The sequence below is a fragment of the Homo sapiens genome, chromosome 8 (assembly GCF_000001405.40).
Source record: "Homo sapiens chromosome 8, GRCh38.p14 Primary Assembly".
NCBI classification, from domain to species: domain Eukaryota; kingdom Metazoa; phylum Chordata; class Mammalia; order Primates; family Hominidae; genus Homo; species Homo sapiens.
Window position 1 is genome coordinate 39986047 of NC_000008.11, and position 22396 is coordinate 40008442.

At 42.3% G+C, this 22396-nt stretch overlaps 1 protein-coding gene and 1 pseudogene across 2 annotated transcripts in view, besides 2 other annotated features; one reads left to right on the forward strand and one right to left on the reverse strand.

Annotated features, from left to right (window-relative positions):
• Positions 1–22396, forward strand: part of IDO2 (indoleamine 2,3-dioxygenase 2) — an 81742-nt gene that overhangs the window by 51396 nt on the left and 7950 nt on the right. For both annotated transcript variants that reach the window (NM_194294.5, NM_001395206.1), the window contains 3 exons: positions 1825–1924; positions 3675–3792; positions 19281–19332. In NM_194294.5, the coding sequence (NP_919270.3) occupies positions 1825–1924; positions 3675–3792; positions 19281–19332 (270 nt within the window). The remainder of the gene's footprint in view (positions 1–1824; positions 1925–3674; positions 3793–19280; positions 19333–22396) is intronic.
• Positions 4684–4978: a silencer, noted in NCBI's record as "tiled region #1248; HepG2 Repressive non-DNase unmatched - State 23:Low, and K562 Repressive non-DNase unmatched - State 23:Low". NCBI's record gives its function as "represses a minimal TATA promoter and a strong SV40 promoter by Sharpr-MPRA in HepG2 and K562 cells {active_cell/tissue: HepG2 | K562}" and the evidence as "EXISTENCE:reporter gene assay evidence [ECO:0000049][PMID:27701403]".
• Positions 10088–10167: an enhancer, noted in NCBI's record as "active region_27280". NCBI's record gives its function as "activates an Ori minimal core promoter by ATAC-STARR-seq in GM12878 lymphoblastoid cells {active_cell/tissue: GM12878}" and the evidence as "EXISTENCE:reporter gene assay evidence [ECO:0000049][PMID:35858748]".
• LOC100420944 (nuclear transcription factor Y subunit beta pseudogene) lies at positions 11823–12446 on the reverse strand (annotated as a pseudogene).

The window sequence follows — 22396 nt, forward strand, 5'->3', positions numbered from 1 at the left end:
CTTGAACTCCTGACCTCAGGTGATCCACCCGCCTTGGCCTCCCAAAGTGCTGGGATTGCAGGCGTGAGCCACTGCACCCAGTTGAAGTTTAATAGTGTGAAAAAAATATTTCTCATCTCACTATATCTTCTATGGGAGGCCAGATTGCAGATTGTCTACAGAAAAATCCCTTCAAAAGACCTTGTTATTACATAGACTGGAGCTCATGGGGCAGGTCTGGTCCACACATCCTTAGGCTCCGCTTCTCCTGGAAAACAAAAATAGCCTCTGATCCAGTGTTGCCTCTCCCATCACCAAACCTCAGCTTCTATCGCCAAACTCATCAAATAAGAGTGTCCAGTAGAAAAACTGGGCAGATGGGGGCACAGAAGGTGAAGACATCATTTCCCAAGCTAATGTTGCTGCTGGAACAATGTAAGTCTTGACTTTGTCTTGGTTTGGTTTGGTTTGACATTGGTTTGTTTTTCATCTTTGTCTCATGCTTAAAATGTGAAGGGCAAATATGATCCTTAGAGTTAAGGTTTTAGGTTTTGTAGATGTTTTACTCCATTTAAATGACAGCAGATCATTTAGAAATGATTCCTCTGTAACAGCCTTCCAGATCCCATTCGATTGTACAGCATTGAGATAGATAGATAGATAGATAGATAGATAGATAGATAGATAGATAGACGGAATTTGGCCCTGTGTTCCCACCCATATCTCATGTCAAATTGTAACCCCCACATGTCAGGAGAGGGATCCAGTGGGAGGTGACAGGATCATGGGGTTGGATTTCCCCAATGCTATTCTCATGATAGTGAGTTCTCACAATATCTCATTATTATTATTATTATTATTATTATTGCAACAGAGTCTCACTCTATCTCCCAGGCTGGAGTGCAGTGGTGTCATCTCGGCTCTCTGCAACCTCTTGCCTCAGTCTCTTGCGTAGCTGGGATTACAGGCATGCCCCGCCATGCCCAGCTAATTTTTGTATTTTTAGTAGAGACGGAGTTTCACCATGTTGGCCAGGCTGATCTCGAACTCCTGACCTCAGGTAATCTGCCTACCTCGCTCTCCCAAAGTGCTGGAATTACAGGCGTGAGCCACTGTGCCTGGCCAGTTCTCACAAGATCTGATGGTTTAAAAGTGTGGCACTTCCCCCACCTCCTGCCGCCATGTAAGATGCTTGCTTACCCTTCCACCATGATTGAAAAGTTTCATGAGGCCTCCTAGCCATGCTTCCTGGTAAGCCTAAGGATCTCTGAGTCAATTACACCTCGTTTCTTTATAAATTACCCAGTCTCAGGTATTTCTTTATAGCAGTGTAAGAATGAACTAATACACACATAAACAGATTAGAGGCAGCACTGGCCTGAGTTGTGAAACTCTTCCCAGCCTGGTCCTGCGATTAGCTGGCTATATGACCTTGGACAAGCTGCTTTGCTTCTCTGGGCCATGGTTTCATACCTGCAAAAAAAAGAGCATGGACTTGGCTGTTGCCTGGGTCTCTCTAGCCCTGTGGAGAATCAGCTACATCTCTTACTAGGAACTTCTCATTCAGCCAGTTATTCCACTGCGGAGATGGTCCAGGACCATTAGGGCCATGCTAGACATTGGGAGGCTGCCTGTCAGGTGAACATGAAATTGAACTTATCTGTTCTCTTTCCTCCCTGAATGTTGCTGAAGGTAGATGCCCATCCTCAGGGCTGTCTTACGGAGAGGAGAAAGTTGTGCAGTGATTCCACCCTGCAGTTATCTAACTCGGCAGGGAACTCTGGGCAGTGAGTACTCACGGTACAGTCTCCACACCTCTAATCATGTGCTCCTCTCCTTCCCAAGGAACCTGGAGACCATCATCTCATTTCCTGGGGGAGAGAGCCTGCATGGTTTTATACTGGTGACTGCTTTGGTAGAGAAAGAAGCAGTGCCTGGGATAAAGGTATCTTCTCACTTGATAGCACCTTTTCTTTTTAAATGAGCTTGAGCTTTACTTCCCACTCAGTGCCTTTCCTGCAGTGGATTTCTCAACACAAATGAACATAGACCTTGTCCTGCTTAGTTCAAGTCTGAGAGAAGAGATCTAAGCTCTAGGCCACCATATTTGCTCCCTTTTCTCAATTCCTATAAAACTCGGAATGGACCTTTTGTCCATTCAACAAACAGGCATTGGTTTGGGCAATGGGAAATTGGATCGAACAAGACAGACATTTTCCCAGCCCTGACAGAAGCTTATGATGGATACAGTGGATGAAGATGGATTAACGTGGATTACAGGTGTGAGCCACTGCACCGGGCCTCAAACTGGAAATTCTTCAGGAGTCAGACAGGTATCAGGAAGGCTGGATAGAAGACAAAAGACAGTGATGCAGCTTGTGATCAACTACAGCGTTAATGCCTTGCCTAAAAATATTTCAGTTAGATTTCTGCCTTCGCTCTGTCGCTCAGGCCAGAGTGCAATGGCGTGGTTTTAGCTCACTGCAATCTCCACCTCCCAGGTTCAAGCAATTCTCCTCCCTCAGCCTCCTAAGTAGTGCACGCCACCACGCCTGGCTAATTTTTGTATTTTTAGTAGAGACAGGGTTTCACCATGTTGGTCAGGCTGGCCTCGAACTCCTGACCTCGTGATCTGCTTGCCTCAGCCTCCCAAAGTGCTGGGATTACAGGTGTGAGCCACCCTGCCCAGCCAACACTACCTCCCTTGATAAGCATATGTTGAGCACCTACTGGTCCTCAATAGGGTGACCCATTTCTGCTATATTATAGCGCTTTCTTTCTCTCTCAGTAGTTAAACTCCATGGTTACTTTAGTTCTCATCCATGTGTTTAGTCCATTAGAAGATACAGAGTCAAATATCGGCCTTCCAAGTGTAGTTCAGATGAAGTAGAGACTCAAGGAAGACAAGGAAGTCTTCCCAGCAGAGGGGATTCTAGAGCTGGGGGCTCTGTAGAATCTGTCTGTGTATTAGTCCATTTTCACACTGTTATAAACATACTACCTGAGACTGGGTAATTTATAAAGGAAAGAAGTTTAATTGACTCATAGTTCTGCATGGATGGGGAGGCCTCAGGAAACTTACAGCCATGGAGGAAAGTGAAGGGGAAGCAAGAACCTCTTCACGAGGCAGCAGGAGAGAGAGCAAAGGGGGGAGCTGCCAAACACTTTTATACAATCAGATTTTGTGAAAACTCTCCCTCGTATCATGAGAACAGTATGGGAGAGCCCACCCCCATAATTCAATCACCTCCCACCAGGTCCCTCCATCAGCCTGTGGGGATTACCATCCAAGATGAGATTTGGGTGGGGACACAGATTTCAACACAGATTTAAATCTGACTTTATATGAGAGCTTCGGAGCAAGGATGCCCCAGTTGGAGATGCAGTAGAACTGATCATAACGTGACAAATCCGAGAGAAGAAGAGTAAAATAATAGTACTCAGGCCCTTGGGAGGTGCAAGAAGTAACAGCCAGATGAAATTCCAGAAACACTTACCTAGGGGTCTGTCTGGGAGGTCCCCAGGGAGCTTCTGGCTGTCAGGCCAACCCCACAGTGGATCTAGCTTAGGACGTTCCCAGGAAGCTCTGACAAACTGTCCGGTCCTCCCCTGGGTTCCAACAGTATGAGGCTTACTCTGCCTGCATGGACTTTAAGGGAGTGCTAATAAGTTGTGTACATGCATCTCATCCCTAGGCTCTTGTTCAGGCCACGAATGCTATCTTGCAGCCCAACCAGGAGGCCCTGCTCCAAGCCCTGCAGCGACTGAGACTGTCTATTCAGGACATCACCAAAACCTTAGGACAGATGCATGGTAAGATGCTTCCGAAGCTCCTGAAGGATCCCCCAGGGGTCCTGGGCTCTGCTTAGGGGAAGAGGGCCTGGGGACCAGGCATGTCCTGAAGGGGGTGATAATACATTCATCCACCAGATGACGCTGGTGGACTATCTTTGTTTTAGGTTAAACACATATTATCTTGGAGAGCTATTGTCACAGCTTTGTATTCTCCCTCTCCTTTATATTCTCCCGTGATTAAGATGGTTTCCCTTCTGCAGTGGCCAGATATTTCTTAGGCATGTTGAGGTCTTGCCTGAAGCTTGAGAGGAGGGGATGGGATGCACAGTAATGTTGGTCGCGCGTGCCCCATCCTGCAGTGTTAGGTACTGCAGAGCAGGTTGTCTACACTCTGTAATGCCCCTTTTATTCTAACCCCCTGTGTTGGTTCCTGAGATGTCTGACCTTGGTTTTAAGCCTTGTCTAATGGATGGCCTGTATTCCCTTTCTGTAGCTAGGGCAGGCTGATTTGTCAAAGGTAGGAAAGTTGTCAGAATCAAAATGGAGTCACTTGTGTTGAATAAAAATTTTTAAACCTTGACAAATAGAGCTGGGGAAGGCTACAAAGAGAGAGCTCCCGTGTATAAATGCCTGATAACAAAATCTTTTCCAAAGGACTGAAAAAATCACCACCTTGCACAAAGGCCATCACAACCTTACATACACAAAAAAATACTTACACAACGACATCTGCCCAGCAACTGCCTTTCCAACATTGGCCTTGTGCCACCCTTTTTATTGATGCTCATAGCCAAGGTTAATGATCTCAAAACAGTTACATAATTGTCCTCATTTTTCCTTTAAAAACCTTTGTCTTCCTTTATCTTTCTGAATACCCACATGGTTTATTATGGCACATGTATTCCCATTGCAATGCCCTATTCCAGAATAAATATCAGTTTCCATTAGGGAGCCTCTCCCTGTTAATCTGCTTAACACAGGCATGGTCAGTTACGGGGCCCAACCTTCCTGGACCGGTTACATCTTATTCTGGTTACTGCATTCAGTTTCCAACATCTGGGAGGCTCTTCAAATTCTTCTCTCAGAGGAATCTGAAGAATGTATGTGTTTAGGAGGATGTGAGAGAGGGGTGTGGTTTCTTAACAAGAGAATATCAGAGTCTAAGTATCATTTTCCCTGAATCTTGCTTCCCTGCAGGAAAGAAAGATTCTGGGAAAAGAGAGTGTTTACAAGAAGCAGGACTGGAGGGAGGGAGAAAGACGCTAGGTACTGCCAAGCTTTATTATCTTGTATTAAAAAAGTAAATATAATTTGTCATCCCAGCCTCTCAGCACTAGTAGAAATCTATCTGAAGTCACAGGATTAGGTATTATCCACTTCCTGGTTTTATAGTTTATATTTGTATTTTCTCTATTTCCTTGAATTTTAATTTTAAAGCCCTCATGATCACATCAGTAGGTCTTCTGCCAAACAGCTCCCTTAAGTTGTATGGTGGCTTTGCCAAGCTGAAATGAGATGAGATGTGTTTTAGCTTTGCCAAGAAAGCCTGAGTCCATCACTTAGGATAGCAAGGCTATTAGGGAGATAGTGCAGGTGTCTTCAGATCACATGGATGAGCAAAAGGAAGCAATTTTGGAAGATTATGAGAAACCTTCCAACAGGTCCCAGTGTACATAGCAGTAAGATGGTGCATGCAGTGTCTAACTGTCACAGGCTTTCCTAGGGCTCACTTTCAGACTCACTTCTTTTTTTTTTTTTTTTTTTTTGTGAGATGGAGTCTCACTCTGTCACTCAGGCTGGAGTGCAGTGGCACGATCTTGGCTCACTGCAAGCTCTGCCTCCCGGGTTCAAGCGATTCTCTTGCCTCAGTCTCCCTAGTAGCTGGGATTATAGGCATGCACCACCATGCCCAGCTAATTTTTGTATTTTTAGTAGAGATGGGGTTTCGCCATGTTGGCCAGGCTGGTCTCGAACTCCTGACCTCAGGTGATCTGCCTACCTTGGCCTCCCAAAGTGCTGGGATTACAGCCGTGAGCCACTGCGCCCAGCTCAGACTCACTTTTTAGGCCCAGGCCAACCTGCTGTGTTCTCCTGCTCAGCTTCTGCAGGAGGTCTCATCGTCTAAGGAGGTCCCAGGGCTACCGCCCTTGTTTTCTCAAAAGGCACATTTTCCCACACAGACATAATTTCGTTTCAGTGTTTTACTCCTAGTCACATTCATCTATATGGACAAATAGCTGAATGGATTGGACTGTGTTTTCTAAAGATGGCCCCATGCCATCCTGCGCGCTCCTCCACAGCGTGGCCTGGGCATTCCTTTCGACCAGGGGTGGACTCTGTGCCCCTACTTGTGATGTACGTGTTGCCAATAGAATGTAGTATAGGGGATAGCACAGACTTCTGAGGCAAGACTAGAAGAGGTGATGCAGGTTTAACCTTGTGTCCTGAGCCACTAGGTAAAAAGTCCACCTACCCTGAGATCACTCTGCTGTGCAAACGACACAGGCAAACCACATCAAAGAGCCATGTGGGTTCTCCAGTTGGCTTCTGCCCAGGAGTGAAGGTGCCCTCAGATGGTTCTAGGCTCCCATCCCAACTTATGTCCTGTCTTGAAGTCTTCCCAACTGAGGCACCAGCCACTGTGGAGCAGAGTCAAGCCATTGCCATCTTGTTCTGCCCAGATTCCCCATCAACAGAATATAGTGGTTTTTTCACACCTCTATGTTTGGAGTGGTTTCTATGCAGCAATAGTAACCACAAGAAATAAAGTTATAAAAATAGTAACAAACACTAGAAACTGCAAGATTTAAGGAATCACCTGAATGCTCCAGTCATTGTCTCTGGTTTGTAATGATAAACTTTCTTCTGCGTGATAAATAGAGCTTGGCTGGACTTTTTCCCTCTGCTTCCATTCCCCAAAATGGAGCGTACCAAACAATTGCTTCTTTCAGAGCCCAGCTTTAGCAAGAGTCATGAGCTCTAATCCCTTCATCCATAAATACTTCCTTTCCAGGCACGTAGAGCCCTTCACACTCAGGGCTGAGTAGAAAATGCCTGTTGCAGACTGCAGTGGCGTTTTGGAGAGCCACCCTCCTGGTACCTGAGTCACTAGTCCTTTGCCCAGCTTTTCTCAGTTTTGTAAAGCGCTCACTTCTGAGTGGAAGACAGAACCAGCCCGGTCTATTTTCATAATCTGCCCCCATAAGGCAGAAGTCCACACGGTACTGGAAACATAACCATATCTATGTCAGTCTGCCACTGCCTGCCGCCTGTCAACCGTGCGTGTCTGCATCCAGTCCTTCTTTGGAGCTGCTTTCCAGCGACTCAGCCAGATCTGAGCTTTCTGACTCATTGGAAGGTTAAACTATTTTCAGACTTTCAAGTGTTGAGATTATTAAGACATGTGTTTTTTTTTTTCTTCTTTTTTTGGCATGCTTACTGATCGCCCCTGTTCTCTAGGAAGTAATGTTCTTCTTGGAAAAGGTGAAGGATATTTTTCTCCCCAAAAAGCCATGGAAATGTTTGCCTTTATTTACTTCCAAATTAACAGAATTTCCAGCTTTTGCTTGACCCATCGGCGCATTGGCAGCGTTAAGAATTTTTTCTTTTAGCAGTAATGAGGAGTCGAAGGGTTTCTTCCTAACCATTTAGTGTATGCATTTAAATCAGGTTTCTTTTTGAGTAAATTGGGGCTAAGCTGTAGTGTGAACTTCTGCTACTGTTCCTTTCTCATTAGTTCACTTGATTTCATGGAAGGAATTTTCCATCTCAGCCTGTGAACTTATTTTGTCTAAACTCAATTGGAAAGTAATTAACACTGAGATTCTTCTTTAATAAATTCTATATGATAATAAAATCATACAAACATCTCTTTATTTTTCTTTTTGACCTAGAAAAGATGTTCACAGGCCAGACCTGGTGGCTGAAGCCTGTAATCCCAGCACACTGAGAGGAAGAGGCGGGTGGATCACATGAGGTCAGTCCGAGGGCAGGGTAGCCAACGTGGTGAAACCCCATCTCTAGTAAAAACACAAAAATTAGCTGGGCATGGTGGCACATGCCTGCAATCCCAGCTACTCAGGAGGCTGAGGCAGGAGAATCACTTGAACCTGGGAGATGGAAGTTGCAGTGAGCCTAGATCCTGCCACTGCACTCCAGCCTGGGCGACAGAGTGAGACTCTGTCCCCAAAAAAATAAATAAATAAAAGATGTTCACAATATATTGTTAAGTGAAAAAAGCAGGCTACATAACTTGCATAATATGAGTGCATTTTAATAAAAATATACATATTTAGCAAAATAAAAGGACAAATGGTATTTATTAAAATATTTACGTTGATTATTTCAACACAGAGGATGATAGTTGATTTTGCTTAATTTCTTCCCTCCTTCTTTTCAATTTGAATTTTCTATAATGAAGATTGTTTCTTTTTCTTTCTTTCTTTTTTTTTTTTGAGATGGAGTTTCGCTCTTGTTGCCCAGGCTGGGGTGCGATGGCGCCATCTCGGTTCACCACAACCTCTGCGTCCCAGGTTTAAGTGATTCTTCTGCCTCAGCCTCCCTAGTAGCTGGGATTATAGGCGTGTGCCACCACACCCGGCTGATTTTGTATTTTTAGTAGAGACGGGCTTTCTCCATGTTGGTCAGGCTGGTCTCGAACTCCTGACCTTAGGTGATCTGCCCACCTCAGCCTCCCAAAGTGCTGGGATTACAGGCATGAGCCACCGCGCCTGGACTGATTATTTTTTAAATAGGGTTAGAAAGTGAGGAAGTTACTAAACTCCGATTAGCCCAAATATGCCCCAGTGGGTCCTTCTGGCAGAGTAAATGTCTCGGTTCAGCCTGAATCTGGGAAATTGTTCCTACGGTTCAGCCTGAATCTGGGAAATTGTTCCTACCTTATAAACTGGAGTATCCTTCAGAAATGACATTTACTCAAACTTCCTTTTAGGCAGACTGCATAATAGCAATTTTTAATATTAACCATTTAAAAAAAACCTTCAGATTAATTAACACCAAAAGAATAATTGGGAAAATACAACTCCTCACTTTAAAAAAGAAACAACCAAAGTAAATACTAAAAAACTATATGATGTTATATTATCTAAGCTTAGTTTACTGCAAAGATCAAGAGCACACTACTAGTTGACGGCCTCTATTCACACTGTTCATAGCCCTCGCTCGCTTCTCCAGCCATTCACTCACTCATGCAAAAGGTCTGTACACACAATGATGCCTGATGGTATAATAGGAACCTTAACATTTCAATTAAAAGGCAAAATGAGGACACTTACCATCAGCCTATAAAATTATTCTTATTATTCTTCTTCTTCTTCTCCTCCTCCTCCTCCTCTTCTTCCTTCTTCTTCTTCTTCTTCTTCTCCTTCTCCTTCTCCTTCTCCTTCTCCTTCTCCTTCTCCTTCTCCTTCTCCTTCTTCTTCTTCCTCTTCTTCTTCTTCTTCTTCTTCTTTTTTTTTTGAGATGGAGTCTTGCTCTGTTGCCCAGGCTGGAGTGCAGTGGTGTGATCTCGGCTCACTGCAACCTCTGCCTCCCAGGTTCAAGCTATTCTCCTGCCTCAGCCTCCCAAGTAACTGGGATTACAGGTGCATGCCACCACGCCCGGATAATTTTTTGTATTTTTACTAGGGATGGGGTTTCACCATGTTGGCCAGGCTAGTCTCTAACTCCTGACCTCAAGTGATCCACCTGCCTCGGCCTCCCAAAGTGCTGGGTGTGGGCGGCAAGCCACCCAGGTGCCAAGGCAAGAGACAGAGGGCACGAGCTGTTCCAGTATAATGAGGAAAATATATAGAATAAGAATAGTTATACTAGAAATAGATTATAGATATGATTACATATGAATATCATTCTTCATTAGTTTGTAGCACTACTCTTTATTCCAGTATTATAATAATCTTTGTTCTACAATTATAACCTAGGAAAAACCAGGCCATACAGAGATAGGAGCTAAAGGGACAGGGTGAGAAGTGACCAGAAGAGTGTGAGCCTTCTGTTATGCCCGGACAGGGCCACTAGAGGGCTCCTTGGTCTAGCGGTAACGCCCGCGTCTGGGAAGATGCCTGTCACCTAACGGACCGTGGTCTAGCGGTAGCGTCAGTGCCTAGAAAAGGCACTCTTTTTAAATATACTTTTTATTTTTGTTTAATCTTCCCTGATTTCCTATAGATCTGAGATATGTCATGCTTATTTTCATTGCTATCTAAAAATCTCAATAAACTTTATACCTAAGAGTAAAAAAAAAAAAAAAGAAAAGAAAAGGCGCTCGTTACTTAGCCGACCGGGAAAGGGAGTCTCCCTTTCCCCGGGGGAGTTAGAGAAGACTCTGCTCCACCACCTCTTGTGGAGGGCCTGACATGAGTCAGGCCTGCCTGCAGTCATCTGGAGGCCTAACCGTCTCCCTGTGATGCTGTGCTTCAGCGGTCACGCTCCTAGTCCTGAACACCTGGCTCCGCCTTTTAGATAGCAGTAGCAGAATTAGTGAAAGTACTAAAAGTCTTTGAAATGCAGAAGTAATGGCGTAAGCTGTCACGTCTCTCTCTCCGCCTCAGCTGCCAAACAGAGAAGGGTCCCCTGTCCAGTGGACACGTGACTTGGGTGACCTTACCTGTCATTGGAGACGACTCATACTCCTTACCCTGCCCCTTGCCTTGTATCTAATAAATAACAGCTCAATCTGGCATTTGGGGCCACTACTGGTCTCCGCATCTTGGTGGTAGTGGTCCCCCGGGCCCAGCCGTCTTTTATTCTATCTCTTTGTCTTGTGTCTTTATTTCTACCATCTCTTGTCTCCGCACACGAGGAGAAAAACCCACAGACCCTGTAGGGCTGGCCCCTACAGCTGGGAATTACAGGCATGAGCCACCGCATCCAGCCAGCCTAAAATTCTTCTGAAGGATAATAATATAGTACTTGAAGACACGGTTTGAAAAAAATCATACTAAATGAAAGGGCACCATTTTACAAGCACTAGAACTACATTAAACTTAAATGAATTCCAACACTCTTAATAATGTAACTCAAAAACAAGTCTAGTGTTAACAAAAGCTCCAATAACTAAAACTACATTAACAGGCACAATGAACATTGTAAACGCCGCTAATTGGCACCAAGTTTAATAGGGCAGACAATATTTTCTTCTGCATTCACACTTACTCAGTTACACTGTTGAAAAATGCTGCTGCTCAAGCTATGAATGCTTTACAAAAGAAATCATTTTAATAAATACAGTAAATGCTAAAACTCTAGCTAAACTATTATGCAAGATATACAACCAAGACAAATACAAATTCATAATACAAGCAACTTGCATTCAAAATGAACTCTACCACTATATTTTATTAAAAGGGCAGACTTTATGAATTAACCCAGCTGCTTCCTGAATTACAAAAGTGGCATGACTCAATATGAAAATAAGAAACTGTCTACAAATTTCTGACAGTAATAAATTGTAATATACAATACATGCAGGAGTCTTACGGAAGAATAAACTCTCCTAGGAAACAAAAATATTTTATACTTTTAAAATCCAAAGTAAAAAAAAAAGAAATCATTGCCAGATGCGGTGGCTCATGCCTGTAATCCAAGCACTTTGGGAGGCCAAGGCAGGATCGCTTGAGCCCAGGAGTTTGAGACCAGCCTGGGCAACATAGCAAAACCCCATCTCTACAAAAAAATACAAAAATTAGATGGTAATGGTGGTGAGCGCCTGTGGTTCCAGCTACCCAGGAGGCTGAGGTGGGAGGATGCACCTCAAGGCTGCAATGAGCCAAGGTCACACCATTGTACTGAAGCCTGGGGACAGAGTGAGACCCTGTCTCAATAAGTAAATAAATAAATATCTTTTATGAAAAAGATTCTCTAGTCAGAATTAACACCTCAACTAGCCAAACATCAGGAAGTTACATTACAGCTACTTAATACACAAAGGGACACATTTTCACCAGTCGTTGTCTTCTGATATTTCTATTCCAGAAACACACACTCTCACTTCCCTACACTCCCCATCCCATCATTTCTTCAGAGCATGGAAACAGAATTTGTTGAACACCAGAAATCTCTTGCTATGGTGGTACATAAGTCATAACATTTGTTGCTGCCCAGCAGCAGGTATGAAGCCGGCTGGTGACTGGCTAGCAAATGCCTATTCTGTAAGCTCCTCACTTAGCCCATCTGTAGCTCTGACTTCTCCACCAATTCCCTTCTCTCCTTTCACAGCCTTTCTGAGTTTCTGAGGGATAATTTCAGAGGTTCCATATAACTGTCAAAGCCTATGGTAGACATGGCAAAGTGAAAATCCTCTCCACTGGCCATTTCTGTTTCTCTTGGGGGCATCTTTCACTTGCCTCAGGTGTTATAAAGCTGATGAACACACGTACACGTTGTTTAACACTTTCTTGGGCATTTCCCATTTGAGATATGGCATGTTTCATTATCCTAGTGACATGTGCAATCAGAAAATGTATATTTTGTTCTCTGCAACTTTCTTTTGAAAAATGTATATTTGAACAAAATATACATTTTTTGTATCTTCATGACCATTCATGCTGTCCTCACTGTCATCATGAGGCTCTATATAACATAATGACTCCTCCAGGGCAGTCTTCGGAAATTCCCAGTGCAGAAGCACGTGTCATACAGCAGTCCCCATTCATCTCCAGTGCAGCTCTGGCTGGCTCCCATGTCTGATCAGCTGTTTGGTTGGACAGAAAATGACTGCAAGGGAATCAGTTCCAGTGTGAGCTCTGTTTGCAGAACTCAGACTCCCCTCCCTCCCATGTTAATGCTTTTTTTCTTCTTCTTTTTTTTTTTTTTTTTTTTTTGACAGAGTCTCATTCTGTCACCCAGGCTGGAGTGCAATGCTATGATCTCGGCTCACTACAACCTGTGCCTCCCCGGTTCAAGCAATTCTCGTGCCTCAACTTCCCGAGTAGCTGAGATTACAGGTGCACACCACCACACCCCACTAATTTTTTTGTATTTTTAGTAGAGACGGGGTTTTGCCATGTTGCCAAGGCTGGTGTCAAACTCCTGAGCTCAGGAAATCCACCTTCCTCAGCCTCCCAAAGTGCTAGGATTACAGGCGTGAGCCACCATGCCCAGCCCCATGTTAATGCTTCTAAAGTTTGCCCTCACTTCTTTAGAAATTCCTTCAGTACATCCTTTAAGACTTCCTCTAGTGAGTGTCTGCTGGTGGTAAACTCTCCCCTCTAAAAGTTGCTTTATTTCTCCTCAATTCCTGAAGGATATTTTTGCTAGCAGCTATATTCTTTTAGATGTTGAACATATCGGTACAAAAGCTTCTGGTTTCCATGGTTGCTATTGAGATGTTAGCTGTCGGTTTATCTTTCTCCCCTGACTATGTGTACCTGTTTCTCTGTATCTGTCTACTTTTTGGGTTGCTCAATTTATTGGCCTTGGGCTTCATTCTGCTGCTGCTTTTTTTTTTTTTTTTTTTTTGAGATGGAGTCTTCCTCTGTTGCCCAGGCTGGAGTGCAGTGGTGCAATCTTGGCTCAATGCAACCTCTGCCTCTCGGTTCAAGCGATTCTCCTGCCTCAGCCTACCGAGTAGCTGGGATTACAGGCACCTGCCAACACGCCAGGCTAATTTTTGTATTTTTAGTAGAAATAGGATTTCACTATGTTGGCCAGGCTGGTCTCAAACTCTTGACTTCAGGTGATCCACCCACCTCAGTCTCCCAAAGTGCTAAGATTACAGGCCTGAGCCACCACGCCTGGCCACAATTTTTAAACTTTTTATTTTTACAGGCACCTGCCAACATGCACAACTAATTTTTGTATTTTTAGTAGAAACAGGATTTCACTGTGTTGGCCAGGCTGGTCTCAAACTCTTGACCTCAGGTCATCCACCACCTTGGTCTCCCAAAGTGCTAGGATTACAGGCGGGAGCCACCATGCCTGGCCAAAATTGTTAAACTTTTTATTTTCTTCCTCAAGAGGATGAGAAGAAAGGTCAATTGTAAGCTTTAGAAGTCTTGCCCAATAGCCAATCTGAGAATATTCTCCGTAAACATTCACCAGAGGCAGCCAGTGACCATGGGATACTTTTGGTGAGAGGAATTGATTGCTGGGGTCAGGAATGGGAGGAAAGCATACTTCTCATTAGATACCTTGTTGAACTTCGTAAATTGTGTGCCAAATGCATGTCTTACCTAGACTTCATAAATTAATTTCTTTAAAAATAATCAAAGACAATTTTTTAAAGACTTATTTAATTTAAGGTGATTATAAAACATCCAGTATACTTTCACTATTAAAAAAGTAAGTATTCCTGTCTGGGCTTGGTGGATCACACCTGTAATCCCAGCACTCTGGGAGGCTGAGGTGGTCGGATCATGAGGTCAAGAGATTGAGACCATCCTGGCCAATATGATGAAACCATGTCTCTCCTAAAAATACAAAAACTAGCTGGGCGTAGTGGCGTGCCTGTAGTCCTAGTTACTCAGGAAGCTGAGGCAGGAGAATCGCTTGAACCCAGGAGGCGGAGGTTGCAGTGAACTGAGATCGTGCCACTGCACTCCAGTGTGGCAACAGAGTGAGACTCCATCTTCAAAAAAAAAAAAAAGTATTCCTAAACAGCATATTATCATGATATATTATTTTGTTTTGTAGGGTTTTGAACCTTGTCTAAAAAGAATTAAAATGTATAAATTTCTTCCTGCAATTTCCCTATTTCACTAAGGGTCATTCACATTGGTCATATAGACATAGCACATTTTCACCACTATATAGCAGCATTTTGTACAAATAGACTACAATTTACTTATTCTGCACTTATTTCTGTTTGTTTGTTTTGCTATGAAAAGCAATGTCATTACATATATTCATGCCCATAGCTACAAGTTTACATATTTCAGGTTTTCTGTAGGGTGGACACCAGGGAGTTGAATTGTTCAACAGGACTTTACATTCATCTTTAGTTTTATTGGCCAACACCAAATTGTTCTTCACAATGTTTGAACTAAGTTGAAATTCCACCTCCCCATCACATTTAGTTTTGTCAACTTCATTTCTTCATTCATTAATTCATTCATTCAGTCTTTTGTTTATTTGTTTATTGCCAGTCTGATAGGCGTATAGTGGTGCTTCATCATGGTTTTACTTTGCATTTCTCTGATTTTCTTTTTAAATTTTTAAAAAATTATTTTTATGTAGAAACAAGGTCTCGCTACATGGCCCAGGCTGGTCTTGAACTCCTGGCTTCAAATGATCCTCCCACATTGGCCTTTCAAAGTACCGAGATTGATTATAGGCGTGTGCCACTGTGGCCAGCTGATTTCCCTGATTTCTGATGAGTTAACAATCTCTTCTTTCTCTCTCTCTCTCTCTGTGTATACAGGTACTCACCATTCGTGCCTATTTTCTGTAAAATATGTGGCTTTCCTCATTTTTTTTTTTTTTTTTTTTTTTTGAGGCAGAGTCTCGCTCTGTTGCAGGCTAGAGTGCAGTGGTGCGATCTTGGCTCACCACAACCTCCACTTCCTGGGTTCGAGCAATTCTCCTGCCTCAGCCTTCAGAGTAGCTGGGACTACAGGCGTGCACCACCATGCCCAGCTAATTTTTGTATTTTTAGTAGAGATTGGGTTTCACTATGTTGGCCAGACTGGTCTCAAACTCCTGACTTTGTGATCTGCCCACCTCAGCCTCCCAAAGTGCTGGGATTACAGGAGTGAGCCACTGCGCCCAGCCATCTTTCCTCATTTTTATACTAATTAGGCTTTTATCTTACTTGTTTTTTTTAATGTTTTTTGTACACTCTGAAGGCTGATTTTTGTTAATTGTATGTGTTGCATTTTTTATGGTTTGTCTTATGCCTTTTGAAAGTAAAAGTTCTTAATTTAAATATAGCCAACCTGTAAATCATTTGTGAAAGTCTGTGGTTTAAGAGGTCTTGAATAAGAAATTATCCCATCATCATAAGTCATAAATACTTTTTTGTTGTTGTTGAGACAGAATCTCATTTTGTTGTCCAGGCTGGAGTGCAGTGGGTTGATCTCAGCTCACTGCAACCTCTGCCTCCTGGGTTCAGCAATTCTCCTGCCTCAGCCTCCCAAGTAGCTGTGATAATAAGCATGTGCCACCACACCAGTCTAATTTTTGTATTTTTAGTGGAGACAGGATTTCATCATGTTGGCCAGGCTGGTCTCAAACTCCTGACTTCAAGTGATCCACCTGTCTCAGCCTCCCAAAGTGCTGGGATTATAGGTGTGAACCACCATGCCTGGCCCATAAATACATTTTTATGTATTTTCTTCTAAAGTTGTTTTGTCTTTCACTTTTTAGTTTTTAATTCACATATAATTACTACTTGCTACTTATAATTATCTGTAAGTAGTATGAGATGAGAAATAAATTCTATTTCCCTCCTATGGATAAGCACAAACCTGCAGTATTAGCACAGTCTTATGTCAGATTTTCTAAAATGAATGGGTGTGTTTTCTAGGCTCTCTGTTCTGTTTCATTATCTGTCTTTTCCTGCAACGATATCATCTGCCTTAAAAACTCTAGCCTTGTGGTATTCCTCATTTTCAAGCAGAGCAAACCCCGTCACCTTGCTTTTCTCCTCCAGCATCGCTTGTGCTATCCTGGACTAAGACCTTCATATAGACTGTTAGAATCATCTAGCCAAGTTCCATTTTAAAAATCTATGTTGGAGCTGGGCGCGGTGGCTCACGCCTGTAATCCCAGCACTTTGGGAGGCTGAGGAGGGCAGATCACTTGAGGTCAGGAGTTGGAGACCAGCCTGATGAAACCCCGTCTCTACTAAAAATACAAAAATTAGCTGGACGTTGGGCACTTGAATTCTAGCTACTCAGGAGGCTGAGGCAGGAGAATCGCTTGAACCTGGCAGGCGGGGGGTGCAGTGAGCCGCGATCATGCCACTGTACTCCAGCCTGGGTGACAGAGTGAGGCTCCATCTCCAAAAATAAATAAATAAATAAAATAAAATATCTATGTTGGAAATTTTGTACAAATTTTATTAAATGTCTACATTAATTTGGAGAAAAATGACTTGATTTTGATTATCTATTCAATATTTCTGTATTATGAATAAGGCAAAAAGAGAGGCAGAGAATAGCATAAAATAATAACTAAAATTCCTGGGTAAACCACCTCAAATCATTTCTTCATATGGCTCAATATTCTTTTGTGACATGGCCTGAAATATATCCAGACAGAGAACTCTTCTCTTCAATACATTTCTTCTTTTAGGTATTCATATTGAGTTTTCCTGTCCATGAACATGGTATAAGAGAGTATATCCCTTCGGGAGGCCAAGGTGGGTGGATCACCTGAGGTCAGGAGTTTGAGACGAGCCTGGCCAACATGGTAAAGTCCCATCTCTACTAAAAACCCAAGAATTATCCAGGTGTGGTGACACATGCCTGTAGTCCCAGCTACTCAGGATGCTGAAGCAGGAGAATTGCTTGAACCAAGGAGGCGGAGGTTGCAATGAGCCAAGGTCATGCCATTGCACTCCAGCCTGGGTGAAGAGCGAGACTCCATCTCAAAAAAAAAAAAAAAAAAAAAAAGAAAACGAGAATATATCCTTTCATTTACTAGTTTTTCTTCAATTTCTTTCAAGATAAAGGGCTTACCTATCTTCTGCTTTATTCATAGTTACTTGATATTTTTGTTTCTAATAAATATGGTGTCTGTCTATTTACCTGCCTCTTACCTGTTCATTTCCAGTTTCAAAAATGATGTTGATATTTGAATATTAACCTTAAATCTAGCACCTTGGTAAACACTATTATTCATTCTAATAATTATCAGTAGATTATATGTGTTTTTTATTTATAAATCATATTGTTTGAGTAGCATGCTTTGCTTCTTCATTTATAAAATTTACAACTTTTATTTCTTTTTAATAATTTTTTTCTTATTCTCCTGGCTAGGACTTCTAACACAGTATTGAGTGGAAGTGCTGATCCTTGTTTAGTTTCACATTTGAAAAAAGATTGCTTTTACTATTTCACTGTTAAGTATAATATGCACCATAGGCTTTCTGTGGATTCCTTTTATCCATTTAAGAACATCTCTTATTCCTAATTAGCTGAAGTTTTCTGCATGTTTGTTTTCATCATGAGTGGATTTTTTTACATCTATTGAAATCATTTTACATAGAAGATATTTCACACCTATTGAAATGGTCATTTCACTTTTCCTTCTTTAATATGTTAAGTTGGGCAAAATATTAAAGTATCACCTGTCATTCTGCTTCAGCAAAAAGTAGTAGTGTCTTAGCAGTATTGGTGAAAAGACAGCATCAAATAAAAAAGATGTAGAAGTAGGACCCAGTAAAAATCTAGCGCATGGGGCATTGTCACATGTAAGCAGACAGAATGTGACACCACCAAGGAGCATCTGAAGGGCTGGAGGCTGAAGGAAGACATGAGTCACCCAGGCTCATGGACACTTCAGAGAAATTAGGGAGCAGGAAGAAGAAATAGGATCAAAGACTACGTATGTTGGTTGGAAAAGGAAGCTGATGGTATGGAGATGTTATTATTTAGGTCTCACATAAAAGATGTAGATAAATAGGTAGATAGGTAGATAGATGATAGATAGAGAGATAGATAGATAAATACATAGATAGATAGATGATAAATAGATGTTGTTATTTAGGCCTCACATAAAGATGTAGACAGATTAGACAGACAGATGATAGATAGATAGATAGATAGATAGATAGATAGATAGATAGACGATAGATAGATAGATAGATAATCTCAGAAACAGAGACACAGTGATCTCAGTAAGATAGGCATATGCCAGGTGACAGAATTCAGAGGGGTCCCACTACGTGAAAACAATAGAACAACCTTCGAAAAGAAATTTAGTACAAATAAGAGGGCAGGCTTCCTTACATACAAGTTAGTAAACTGGAAGAATCAGTTATCCTCAAACATTGGAATAGATCAAAAATAGTTGTTTATATTAATGAAGGTAGCTAAACATGAAGCTAAGTGAACCTGTCTCTGACCTAGTGTGGCAATCCCTGGGCAAGGGACACTTGCTCCGCTCTTGTATCCTTCACTGAATATTCAGACTTTCAGTTAAGCATCGGTGAATTTAGTTTTCATCTCTTGTGAAAACCTTGAGAGAGGTAATTCTCTCTGCTTTTCTTCTTTTCCCTTCCTTCATTTTCTCAAACATTGCCTGTTTAAAATACGAAATTTTAAAAGATGGCCTTGTTCTCTTTTTTGTTGTTATTATTAAGTACAGAGAAAGGAAGAACCACAAATAGCAAAGGGCAACATATGGAATAGTTTAGAAGTTCCGGGAGCACCCATGAGGGCAACTGCAGAAGAGAACATTCTATCCCCCGTTGCTGCAGCTTTCATTCCAGGTCTCCATGCATATCAGATAGGGAAGGAACTCCGGGACAGCAGCAGGGCCCATGCACATGTAACCAATTGCTTTCTTTGCCTGTAGTAAAGTTCACATTTTGATTGCTTCTCCAGATTATGTAGATCCAGACATATTTTATGCAGGCATCCGGATCTTTCTCTCTGGGTAAGTATAGTTCAGTTGTTTTCCTGTGTGAAGTCTCTGTAGCATTGACTGAATGTATAAGGGGACGAAGAGACAGAAGCTTCCTAGCGTAAGAAACATACCAAGTGACTCTTGCTAGGGATCCACTCTCAGGTAAAAGAAGTGGGATACCATCTGCACAACAAATAACACTGAGGGCTAAGTATTTCAGTTAAGAGTGTTTGTTCCTAGGCAGTTCAGATCCATTTATATTCACTTTTCTTAGAATCCTAGCTCAATGACAGAAGAAGAAAAACACAGTATGTCACTCACACAGTTCTATCACTTACATCTACTTTTTCTTCTTGTTATTAAGGCATGTAGAAGGCTGGGGAGTGTAGTATAGAGTTGGATAGCATCGAAGCTTTCTTCTAAAGTTCCTGGAAGAGCTACACTGTGGTTTGAACGAATGTGTCCCTCCAAAATTCATATGTTAAAACCTAATTGTGATGGTGAGGTATTCGAAGGTGGGTTCTCTGGGAGGTGATTATGTCTCCTCTGAGAGGAGAAGACAATCCCCTGAGTGGAACTAATGCCCTTATAAAGGGGCTGGAGGGAGTTCACTTGGCCCTTTTTGCTCCTTTTTTCTTCCATTCCTTGTCCCTTCCACTATGTGAGGACACGGGAGTTGAGGCATTACCTTGGACGTGGAGACCAGGCCCTCACCAGACACTGAACTTGCCAGCACCTTGATCTTGGACTTCCCAGCCTCCAGAACTGTGAGAAATACATTTCTGTTATGGGTAGTCCCCAACTCAATACAGTTTGACTTACCATTTTTTGACTTTATGTTGGTGCAAAAGCATACATATTCAGTAGAAACTACTTTGAGTACCCATACAACCATTCTGTTTTTCACATTTGGTACAGTATTTAATAAATTCCATAACATATTCAACATGTTGACATAAATAAGCTTTGCGTTAGGTGATTTTGCCCAACTGTGGGCTAATGTAAGTGTTCTGAGCACATTTAAGGGCAGCTAGGCTAAGCTAAGGTGTTTGGTAGGTCAGATGTATTAAATGCATTTTTTGTCTTATGATATTTTCAACTTACATTGGGTTTATCAGGATGTAACCCACTGTGAATTAAGGAATATCTGTATTTACAAATTACCCAGTCTAATGTATTTTGTTGTAGCAACAGGAACAAACTAAAACACTACCCCAAACCATTTTTTTCATATTTTCTGAGTACTCTTCTTTTGTCACATGGCTTGAAATTTCTTCACATAGAGAACTCTACTATTATTTTATTTTATTTTATTTTATTTTATTTTTTGAGACAGAGTCTTGCTCTTTTCACCCAGGCTGGAGTGCAGTGGTGCCATCTTGGCTCACGGCAACCTCTGCCTCCTGGATTCAAACTACTCTCCTGCCTCAGCCTCCCGAGTAGCTGCGATTACAGGTGGCTGCCACCAAGCCTGGCTAATTCTTGTATTTTTAGTAGAGACGGAGTATTGCCATGTTAGTCAGGCTGGTCTCGAACTCCTGACCTCAGGTGATCTGCCCACCTTGGCCTCCCAAAATGTTGGGATTACAGGCTTGAGCCACCACGTCTGGCTGATAACTCTACTTTTAGATACTCTCTTTGCTTAAACAAATTAGCCATTCCTTCCTTGACATGTTTTAATCAGATTGCCTTCCTATTAACTTCGGAAATTAAGAGTTTCTGCTATGTTTTTGTTTAATTTTTAAACAGTGAAAAATGAAAGGTGGAGGCAATGGCTGGATGAGGTGAATATGTCAAATAGATATCATCTAGTGGGCCATCTTATTAACTAGGAGACACCTGAAGTGCTATCAATAGAAATAATCTGAAGCTGTGTCTGGATACAGCAAGAGACATGCAAATGCTAAAAATCTACTATATTACATTGGTGCAAGGACAGAGTAGCAACACATACTAAGTATTTTCTCCAGATTGGGTGTGTTTGACGTGTGAAGCACTTCAAACAGAGTCCAGCCTGGGAGGGAGTGGGGATGGAATCCTCCTTGTAGAGGGTACAGAGTGGAAGCAAGAAGGTTTCCAAGATTGAGAGTAATGGGTGTATGGTTTATGGGGGAAAGGGAAAACAAAAAGAAGGGTGCAGAAATGGAGCTGGGAGTGTGTTTTAGTATTTAGGCTTTCTCTGTATACCTTTGATAGGATTAGAAAAAGAAAAATGGACCATTTTTAAAAATTTCATGCTACCACATAGCAGGCTTATACTATAGATGCAGAAACAGACTGGGATTTAGGAAGCACCCCAATTCTGGAAAATCCCTTTTTGCTTCACATTGCTCTCTAAATCTGTATGTTTTCCCTTGTTACGTAACAATTTACCACAAATTTAGCAGCTTAAAACAATATGCATTCATTGTTTCACAATTCTGTAAGTCGGAATCATAGGCAAGCTCAACTGACTTTTCCATTTAGGGTCGCAAAAGGCCGAAGTCAATTTATCTATTGGGCTGGGCTCTTAACTGAAGATCTGGGGAAGAATTCCCTTCAAAACTCATTTAGGTTGTTGTCAGAATTCAGTGTTTTGTGGTTCTAGAACTGAGATCTGTTTCCTTGTTGGCTGTCAGACAGGAGCTGCTCTCAGCTTCTTGAGGCATCCAGTATTCCTTATCATGTGTTTTTTTTTTTCCATCTCAGCACTGGCACTTTTTTTTTTTTTTTTTTTGAGACAGAGTCTTGCTTTGTCACCCAGGCTGGGGTGCAGTGGCACGATCTCGGCTCACCACAACCTCCATCTCCCGGGTTCAAGTGATTCTCCTGCCTCAGCCTCCCGAGTAGCTGGGATTACAGGCACCCGCCACCAGCCCGGCTGATTTTTGTATTTTTCATAGAGATGTGGTCTCACCATGTTGGCCAGGCTGGTCTTGAACTCCTGACCTCAAGTGATCCTCCCACTTCAGCCTCCCAAAGTGCTGAGATTACAGGCATGAGCCATCATGCCCAGCCAGCACTGACAATTCTAATCCTTCTAGCACTTTGATTCCTTCTCACCTCTCCTTCTGCCTCTAGCCAGAGAAAACTCTCTGATTTTAAAGGTCTTATG